The 10,339-nt window shown below is 42.3% G+C and overlaps 1 pseudogene, besides 1 other annotated feature; it reads right to left on the bottom strand.

Moving 5' to 3' along the window:
* Positions 1 to 333: 333 nt before the first annotated feature.
* Positions 334 to 3,782, bottom strand: THRAP3P1 (THRAP3 pseudogene 1; annotated as a pseudogene).
* Positions 7,578 to 7,756: a silencer, noted in NCBI's record as "fragment chr3:31490161-31490339 (GRCh37/hg19 assembly coordinates)". NCBI's record gives its function as "represses an EF-1alpha promoter that drives an FKBP-Casp9 reporter gene in an ReSE screen in phorbol 12-myristate 13-acetate-treated (for megakaryocytic differentiation) K562 erythroleukemia cells {active_cell/tissue: K562(+PMA)}" and the evidence as "EXISTENCE:reporter gene assay evidence [ECO:0000049][PMID:32094911]".

Raw genomic sequence — 10,339 nt, 5'->3', positions numbered from 1 at the left:
TTATTCACATGCTTTGTTTTCTCTTTTAAGAATCAAAGTTTCCCAAATTAAATGTTTCTAATATTACTACATAGGCCTAAAAAAAGAAAAGAAAAAAAAAAGAAGGGCTTTTAAAATCAGGATGGGGAGAAGAGATTGAAAATCATCAAATTAGTCTTCTTAGCTCCAAATGAAATGAAATTCAGAACAAAACTGTTGGTTTCTGATAGGAAACAAAAATTCAAGCATCGCTGTCCCGCCCTACCCTTGCCCCAATGCCACACACCAGCAACAAATGAGAAAAACAGCTAAAGCCCAATGAGTTGTGTTCTGCTCAAGAGCTGGGCCTGATCCCTGGGCTCCACAGCCAGCCTCCTCTGTCCAGTGGGAGGCAGTGCCAGGGATGACTTCCATGGTAGTACAACCTGCATGGCCGGTGAGGGGTGGGGTAGGATTTTGAGAATCATCTTGAGGTTCCTCTGTTTAGCTCCTCGCAGCCATCTTCCCAGCACCTCTCTCCCCGGGGCAAGGAATCCCATCAAGAGTGGCCCCTACTTGGTTGTGGGCTATAAATTGTCCTCTTCTCAGTTCTCTGTCCCACTCTTGTTGTCTTCAATCTGCCCTTCCTCCCCACTGAATTTGTCATGGGCCAGCTTAGGTCTGGTACTTGATTTCTGGAACATGAACCGGACCTGACCCGGAGGAAAGGCTCCTCCCCCTGGCCCCGGCTCACCCACTTGTCACTGCCTTCACCTTCATGGTCATCATGCAAGTAATGCTTCTTGCTTTTGGGTGTGTACTCTGGGTCCCACTCCTCTTTCTGGTTTCTTTTTTGAAAATCGTTGCTGTTGTTTTTATTGTTCCCAGAGTAGTTGCCTCTGCCCCAGCCTCTTCCTCTGGCTCAAAATGGAAAGGTTCCTCGAGCTCTGCCACCTCCTCTTTCACTTGGACCCACCAAGACTTTGGTCCCCAGTCTCGATTTCTCAAAGCCCGTGGTGCTTTCCTCTCTTTCCTCTGTCTCTTCCGTGTACTCTTCTGCTTTGTAGGAGTGAGATGACTGGGAGGAAGAGGAGGATCTGGACCTGTCTCTCGATCTCTGGTGCTTCTTCTGCTTCTTTGATCCTTTATGAGTTTTCTCTGTTTTCTCAGCTGACCTTTTCCTCGAGGGCCTGGAGTCTCAGGAATCCACTGATCCTCTCGATTTACCTAATTTAAGATCTCTCTCCTGGCTGGGAATGGTGGCTCATGCCTGTAATCCCAGCAATTTGGGAGGCAGAGGTGGGTGGATCACTAGGTCAGGAGATTGAGACCATCCTGGCCAACATGAAATATAAAAATTAGCTGGGGGTGGTGGCACATGCCTGTAATCCCAGCTACTTGGGAGGCTGAGACACAAGAATCACTTGAACCTGTGAGGCAGAGGTTGCAGTGAGCCAAGATCATGCCACAGCATTCCAGCTTGGACGACAGAGTGTGACTCTGTTGGAAAAAAAAAATCTCTTACGACGTTCAATATCAAGGCTGAGATCAACAGGATCATCTTTGTATTTTCCCTCAGCGTTGTAGCCAGGTACTGGGGGAAACGTCTATTCTTCTGTGTATCTCTGGGCTTTTCTTGTTTTTGGCTGCCGCCTGCTCAGTTAGTCTCTTTAGGTATTTAGTAAAGCGTTCATGTAATGTCATTCCTGAGGACCCAAAGTGATGCTCTTTAACATGGTGAATAATGGTCACTATATGTTGGGCAAACAGTTCTGAGGGGCTACGCTGAGACTGAGCTGACTGTATGTGCTGGAAAATGGAACAAAACTCCTGTTCCTTTTTGTTGCTATGGACTAGATCTTGGCAAAGCTTGCGTTCCCGAGCCAATAAGCCATTGGGTCGTGCAAAGTCCTCATCAAAAGAGTCCATCCAGACATCGCCCTGTGTCTCTCGAGTAATGGAAAAGGAAGACTTCCCTGTGGAAAAGTCTCCTTTCGCTTCCAGCTTGTCTCGGCTCTCAGAAGTCTTTCTTGGGGGAGGCAAAGAGCTTTTCTCCCGGACCGCTTTGTGAGCAGTCACTCAGAAATTCCTCTCAGGCAGAAAGCCCTTGTGCCCACCTTTGGTTCTCTTGCCCCGATCCTCCTTTTTGGATCTCTCTGGGAAAGACTCCTCCTCCAGCTCCTCTGTTTTCCTCTGCTTTTCCTTCTCTGGAGGTGCATATACCAGGCCCTCCCATTTGCCTGACTTCTCCTCCTCCTGGTTTTCGTTTGCACCTATGACTTTAGACATATTTTGGGTTCATCATCATCAAACTCAGATTCCTTCCTTCCCTTAGCTTTGTCCTTATCTTGATCATCCATCTCTTCCTTGTGGAAGTCAGCCATCTTCTTCTCAAAGTCACTTCGGAGCTTATGCCTTTTGAGAGACTGACTGCCCCGAAAAGGCTTCTCAGAATCAGTTTTGGGAGCAAAAGAATCAGATTTCATTTTTCCATCACCCAAGTCTGTGTCAGAGAAGCTCCCTTTTCTCTTTTATTTTTTCTTTATCTGTATTTGTTTGTTTCCGTTCCTTATCTTTTCTATTCTCTGTCTTCTGCTCTTCTAGGTACCTCTTTGTACAGGCTGCTCCTCCTGGAGCAGCACTCTCCTCCTTCTGAGATGAGACATATGTGGAGCCAATGGATGGTAAATTCTTACCCACAGGGCTGTTTTTGGATGGACTCAGGGACCAAAGAACCACGGTCGAACTGAACTTGGTGTGTCCCAGGCTGATACTCAGCACCGCTTGGCAGAGTTGAGCTCATCTGGGATGTGCTGGAAAGTGGAGGACTAGGTTTTGGCACGGGGCTAGGAAGGAGTGACCGCTGCCTCACCACCACAGCCTGGAGGGGGCTTTTGAGAGCTGAGCTTTGCTCCCGAGGACTCAGCTCAGAAACTGCTGAGGCCCCTGATGCAGAACCAGTGCCGTAGGTGGCATCTGGCCATGGCTTCGAGCTCTCAGATGCTTTTGTATCTTGAGAGGTGCCTCCAGAGAATGTCTGCTCCCTGGCCTCATCTCCCTGGTTATCCCCGGTAGCCTGAGATGGCCGGCTATCCTCGGAAGAGGACTTTTCTCCTTTGCAGACTTGCGCTTAGAAGATTCAACTCGGCTATGGTTGGAGGAAGAACGGGAAGATGAGGAGCGCCTTGACTGGTCAGAAGACGACTTATCAGAGTTTCTAGAATGGCTCCTGGACCTTGGTGAAGGGGACCTTCTCGCTGGGGACCGGGATCTTGAACGGCCCGTGTGCTTGCCGGCAATTCTGCCAATTTGAGCGGTAGTTTCCATAGCCTCCTCCGTTATACTGGCCCCATGGATAAAAGCCTCTGTTGCGCCCACGGAAATAATAGGGCCTTCTATATAGCCTTTGTTGTGACCTCGGAAATCCCGATTCGGTTATACTCTTGGGTGGTTTCTTTCTCTGTTATGAGCTGGAGAATATAATCTGGAACGAGACCTAGAACTCAGCCTGCACTTCCTTGAACCAGAGACAGATGGCCTTAGGGACCGAGACTTCCAACATGAACGAGAACGAGATCTTGATGCAGATCCTGAGCGAGGAGAGCGAGATCCAGACTTGGATTTGTTTTTGACAGCTCTGAAGAGAGGATCACTTTTCAATTACACCTTATTTGAACAGTGATTCGACTTGCACCGGATCCCAGACACTACCCCAAAAGAACACTTGCAGCACCAGTGGCTTCGTCAATTTACGAGTCAGGATACACTTCTGGGCCTGCCGCGGCGATCACCGCTGCAGCTCGCAACGGCACAACCAGCCAGAACCTCGCCCCCGGTATTTTATATTTTTATAGCTATTGTAAATGTGATTGCCTTTTGATTCTCAGCTAGATTGTTATTGGTGTATAGAAATGCTATTGATTTTTGGACATTGTTTTTGTATCTCGCAACTTTACTAGATTCATTTATCAAACTAAGGGTTTTGGTGGTGTTTTTAGGTTTTCCAAATTACACAGAGACAATTTGAGTTCCTCTCTTCCAATGTGGGTGTCTTTTATTTCTTTCTCTTGCCTAATTACTCTGGCCAGTACTATCGGTACTATGTTGAATAGGGTGGTGAAAGTGGGCATCCTTGTCTTGTTCCAGTTTTTATGGGAAAGGCTTTCAACTTTTCTTCATTCAGTATGATGTTGGCTGTGGGTTTGTTGTATATGGCCTTTGTTATTTTGAGGTACATTTCTTCTATGACTACTTTGTTGAGGGTTTTTATCATGAAGGGATACTGGATTTTGTGAAATGCTTTTCCTGCATCTATTGAGATGATCATATGGATTTTGTCCTTAATTCTGTTTATGTAATGTATCACATTTATTGATTTGTGTATGTTGAACCATCTTTGTATTCCCGGTATAAAACCCAGTTGAGTGTGGTATACTGTCTTTCTGATGTGTCATTGGATTTAATTTGCTAGTTTTTTTTAATTTTTGTGCCTATGTTCATCAGGGATATTGGTCTGTAGTTTTCTGTGTTCTGTTGTGTGCTTGTCTGGTTTTGGTATCAGGGTTATACTGGCCTTGTAGAATGAGTTAGAAAGAATTCCCACCTCCTCAGTTTTTTGGAACAGTTTCAGAAGGATTGAGATTAATTCTTCTTTGTATGTTTGATAGAATTTTACTATGAATATATCTGGTCCTGGGCTTTTCTTAGTTCAGAGATTTTTTTGTTATGGATTTAATGTTCTGTGCATTATTGGACTGTTCAGGTCTTCTATTGCTTCCTGGTTCAATCTTGGGAGGTCGCATGCTTCTAGGAATTTATTAATTTCCTCTAGGTTTTCTAGTTGGTGAATGTATGGTTGTTCATAATAGTCTCTGATGATCTTTTGTATTTCTGTGGTATCATTTATCATGCCTCCTTTCTCATTTCTGATTTTATTGGGTTTTCTCTCATTTTTTCCTGGTTAGCATATCAAGTAGTTTATTGATTTTGTTTATCTTTTCAAAAAACCAACTTTTTGTTTCACTGATCCCTTGTGTGTATATATGTATTTTTGGTCTCTATTTAGTTTAGTTCTGCTCTGATTTTTCTTTTTTTCCTTCTACCAAGGGTTTGGTTTGTTCTTGTTTTCCAGTTCCTTGAGATGCATCAATAGTTTCTTTATTTGGAGTCTTTCTATTTTTTTTTTTTTTTTTGGTGTAGGCATTTATTGCTACAAACTTCCCTTTTAGCACTCTTTTGCTGTATCCTGTAGGTTTTGGCATATTGGGTTTTGATTTTTGTTTGTTTCAAGAATTTTTTTATTTACTCCTTATTTCTTTCATTCAGTCATTCAGGAGCATGTTGTTTAATTTTCATGTATTTGTATCATTTCCAGAGTTCGCTTTGCTATTGATATCTAGCTTTATTTCATTGTGGTCTGATTTCAATTTTTTGAAATTTGTTGAGACTTGTTTTGTGTTCTAACATATGGTCTAACCTGGATAATGTTTCATGTGCTGATGAGAAAAATGTGTATTATGCAGCCACTGGATGAAATGTTCTGTAAATGATTTTTAGGTCCTTCTGGTCTAATGTGCAGTTTAAATTCAATATTTCTCTGTTAATTTTCTGTCTAGATGAACTGTCTCATGCTGAGAATGGGGTGTTGAAATTCCTATCTATTGTTGTATTGGAGCCTGTCTTTTCTTTTAAATCTAATAATATTTGCTTTATATATATGGGTGCTTCAGTTTTGGGTACATATGTTTAGAATTTTTATATCTTCTTACTGAATAGATCCTTTTATCAATATATAATGAGATTCTTTGTCTCTTTTTACTGTTTTTGATTTAAAGTCTGTTTTATCTGATATAACTACTCTGCCTAATTTTGGTTTCTGTTTGCATGTAGCTTCTTTTTCCATGCCTTTACTTTCAGTCTGTACATGTTTTTACAGATGAGATGAGTTTCTTGTAGGCAGCCTATACTTGAGTCATTTTAAAAAATCCATTGAGCAAGTCTATATTTTTTTTTAAGTGGAAAGTTTAATTTGTTTACATTCAGGGCTATTACTGATATATCAGGGCTTATTCCTGTTATTTTGTTACTTGATTTCTGGTAATTATATATATTATTTTTTCCCTTTATTTCTCTGTTATTGTTTACTATTGTAGTTTGTTGGTATTCTACAGTGGTAACATTTGCTAATTTCCTCTTCCTTGTTTGCTTGCTCTATCAATGCCTTTTATATTTTTGAGTGTTTTCATGATGGTAGCTATTAATCTTTTGCTTCTGAGTATAGAACTTTCTTAAGCATTTATTGGAGGGCTGCTCTAGAGGTGATGAACTTCCTCAGCTTTTGCTTGTCTGGGAAAGACTATTTTTCCTTTATTTATGAAAGATAAATTTTCTGGACATAGTATCCTTGGCTAACAGTGTTTTTCTTTTAGTGCTTTGAATATATCATCCCATTTTCTCCTGGTCTGTAAAGTTTCTGCTGAGAAATTAGCTTTTAGTCAGATAGAGGGTTTCCTTTATAGATGATAAAATGTTTTTCTCTTGCTGACTTTAGAATTTGTACTGTCACTTTGACTTTAGACAGCCTGAATTGCAATAGGCCATGGTGAAGTACTTTTTGCATTGTATTTTCTGGGGATCATTGAGACTCCTATATCTGGATATTTAAATCTCTTCCTAGAATTGTGAAGTTTTCATTTATTACTTTGTTAAGTAGGTTTTCTAAGCCTTTCAATTTCTCTTTACCCTCAGGGATACTAACAATTAATACATTCAGTTGCTTTTTGTAGTCCCAAGTATCTCAAAGGCTTTGTTCATTTTTTAAAAAATCTTTTTTCTTTATTTTTTGCCTGACTAGATTATTTCAAAATATTTGTCTTCATGTTCTGAAATTCTCTATTCTGCTTGGCCTAGTCTATTTTTGAAACTTTCGATTGTATTTTGTTCTTGCTTTGATGACTTTTTCAGTTCCAGAATGTCTGTTTTTTTCAAAAAGATATTTATCTCTTTGATAAATTTTTCACTTATTTCCTGAATTGAGTTTTGAGCTCTTTGTATTGCTTTTCATATTTCTCTTGCATCATTGAACTTTTAAAAATAAATATTTTGAATTCTTTATCTGGCATTTTGAGGATTGCTTTTTGGTTAGGATCTATTGCTGGAGAATTATTGTGTTCCTTTGAGGATGTCATATTGCTTTTTCATGTTTCTTATGTCTTTACAGCATTTGCTTCTCTTTATTTTTGAATTTTCCTTCACTGGGGGGGCTTTTTCCTGAATATGTGACTATGATGTTGGTTGGGTTTGCTTTTGGGTGCATGGAGTAGGGAAGACTACTATAATTTCATTGGCTATAAATAGCATCAGTGGTATCTGTGGTTTCCTTGGTGTGTTAGGGTGCGGTTATTGGTGGAGGCTGTGGTGAACTTGTGCTAGGGTCTGGAATGCCAGATTGGTCTGTCTTTAGCTTTCAGTGGGGCTAAGCATGTCTATCCTTGTGTTCTGTGGCAGTGTATTCTGATACTTGTGTTGGTGGTTCCAAGCAGGCTGATTTTTGGGCTCTGGGTGCCTTTCTCAATGCTGGTTGTGGTAGTGGTGGACTGGTTGGGTGAGTAGGCTCTTGGGTTCCTGGGCAGCCACATGATGTGGGCAATGGTGGTAGCAGTAGTGGTGAGATGCTCTTCTGATTCCCAAGTGCTGTGCTTTTGTGTTGGCAGTTGCAATGGGCCATGCAGGCTGGCTTCTGGGCCATGCAGGCTGGCTTCCAGGCCACTAGGTGGTGCTTGCAGGTAGAAGCAAGCACCTGCAGATACTTGAGGTGGTAGTGATATGTTGTTTGTGTCCAGCCTCTGTCCCCCAGGATAAATGCTTAGGTGCCCCAGGTGGTGGATTGGGTTATGGAACCCCCAGGACCATGGATCCTGCACTCTGTCTCAGAGGGTGGGGTGAAGCCAAGCAGAGCCAGACCAGGCAAACTTGTGCACAGGTCCCCCAATGATGAGTGCATGGACTAGCTGTGATGAGGAGTTGGGGGTGAGGTGGGTTGATCCTTGGGCCCTGGAGAAATGCTTGGGTGAGGGGCAACCACCACTACAGTGAGGTCTTACCATGTGGTGGGGGTGGCCAGTCCCAGCAGTCTCAGCAGCCACAGCCTTGGCCAGCAGCTGGGGGACTTATGTCCTTTTCATGCCCCAGTGCTTGTGGGGCTCCCTCCCCCATCCTGGCTGTTGCAGCTGGGGGATCCCTCCCCCATCCTGGCTGTTCAGTCAGACCTGGTAGTTCATGCCTAGCCTGGAACTCAGCGCTGGGCCATGGGGGCCCTCTTCCCAGCTCATGTCCAAGTTTCTGCAGCAACTCTTGTCTTACTCAGGACAAGTGGAGGAGTTGTCCACATGTAGCACCAGCAGCTGCAGCCCACAGCACACTTGCTTCTCAGTCCCGTTTGCAAAAGCCTCCCCCACACCCCTACCTAGGCCCCATGCCCCACTCTGGAAGCAGCAGCCTGAGTTTCCCCAATGCCCGGGACTGGTGCCACTGGTTTCCAGGACTGAGCATAGTCTGTTAAAAGCAAGGATCAAGAATGGTGTTTTATTGTAGCTCCTCAGGTCCCAGAAAGAGTGTGAGACCCAAAGTGTGTTCCCTCCTTGGGGTTCCTTCCTACAGTCTCCTGGCTGCTCCCAAGTCAGAATCAGGGCTTAGAAGACTCAAAGTGTTTCTCCTATGGCTTGGATAGTACAGTTCCCAAGTGAGAAGGTAAATTGTAGGAAGACACTCACTCACCTTCCCCTGTACTGAGGGATTCACTACCAGTTCCGGGCCAATCCTAGCCACAGAAGCTGCACATTTTCCTTCTCCTTCCTAGATTTTAGTGTTTCCTATCATTTTTTTTTTCTGTCAGACTCCCACATTCCACCTTGGATAATGTGTTTAAAATGTGAATGTTGGCGGGGCACAGTGGCTCCTGCCTGTAATCCCAGCACTTTGGGAGGCAGAGATGGGCAGATCACAAAGTCAGGAGATCGAGACCATCCTGGCCAACATGGTGAAACCCCGTCTCTACTAAAAATACAAAAATTAACTGGGCGTGGTGGCAGGCGCCTGTAATCCCAGCTACTCAGGAGGCTGAGGAAGGAGAATCGCTTGAGCCCGGGAAGCGGAGGTTGCAGTAAGCTGAGATCGTGCCACTGCACTCCAGCCTGGCGACAGAGGGAGACTCCAGCTCAAAAAAAAAAAAGACTGTCTACATATTTTTTGGTAATTCTAAGTGGATGAGGCATGCTTACAATGCCTCTAGTCAGCCATCTTAAAAAACAAAACAAAACAAAACAAAAAAACACCTATACTGTTAAGATAGTCTCTTAGAGCTTATCCTAAATGTGGGCAATATTCTCAAAATTGCAATAGGTGAGAGAAGGCATATGTAGTGACCTGCATATAGCACTCCAAGCTTTGGTTATTGCTGTTTGCTCCTGATAGGGTCCAAAAGGGGCTACATTAGACAGGAAATTCAATTTTTTCTTTTTGCCTTTCACATATCTGCATTTTAATTTGAAATTTATTCCATGCTTTCTTTAGCTGGGTGAGTGTGGATTGCCATATTTCATCAAAACTAAGACACTGTCAGTTTTAAGGTCTTATTTTATTTACCATTATTTTATTTACCATTATGAAAGGAAAAAACCTGCCAATTAAACGATGACAATTATAAGACATATCACCATTTCAGAGATGTTACTATGTTATAATTCCTGGCAAGAAGGGGAGGTACAGTGTTGAAATGCAACATTTTAAGATTGCTGCCTCCCATGAAAGAGGAGGCTGTTATTTCTGGGATGAGATCAAGTTTCCCTTGAACTGTTTTTGCAGGTTATCTTCTCTACACTTGGCGTTCATGCATGGAAGAGCAAAACCTGGTTCTGTGTTAGCACATATTTTGTGTTACATTGATCTCTATCTTGCTAATTACAAAACAAAGTTTTATAGAATAAAAACCAGTGATTATAGAAACCAAATTGAGAATCAGGACTAAGGATAAAGTTTAACAAGAAAATGTAATTACAGGAAGTTAGAACACTCTCTCCTCTGTATCATTTAAAGATTAAGAGACTCAGCAAGAAGAAAAGGGAAAATTTTGTCCTATTGATTGTGGAATTAGCCAGGAAAAGTGTCTGTGAGTCCTTTATACTCTGAAATATTATTCTACACTATGGAACTTTAATAATCAGATTACACTCTTGAAGTTTAATAAATGGCACTGAAAGTTGTTTTTTCCAACTCAGGTGCGAATATAACCAAGATTGTTCTTTGTCCCTAGTAAAGAGAAGGCTAGATATTACTATTTCTATAAAACTGTAGTAGGATTTAGAAATAACATTTAATATGCTGT

Source organism: Homo sapiens, chromosome 3 (genome assembly GCF_000001405.40).
Source record: "Homo sapiens chromosome 3, GRCh38.p14 Primary Assembly".
Taxonomy (NCBI): Eukaryota; Metazoa; Chordata; class Mammalia; order Primates; family Hominidae; genus Homo; species Homo sapiens.
This window is presented reverse-complemented; position numbering and strand designations above follow the sequence as displayed.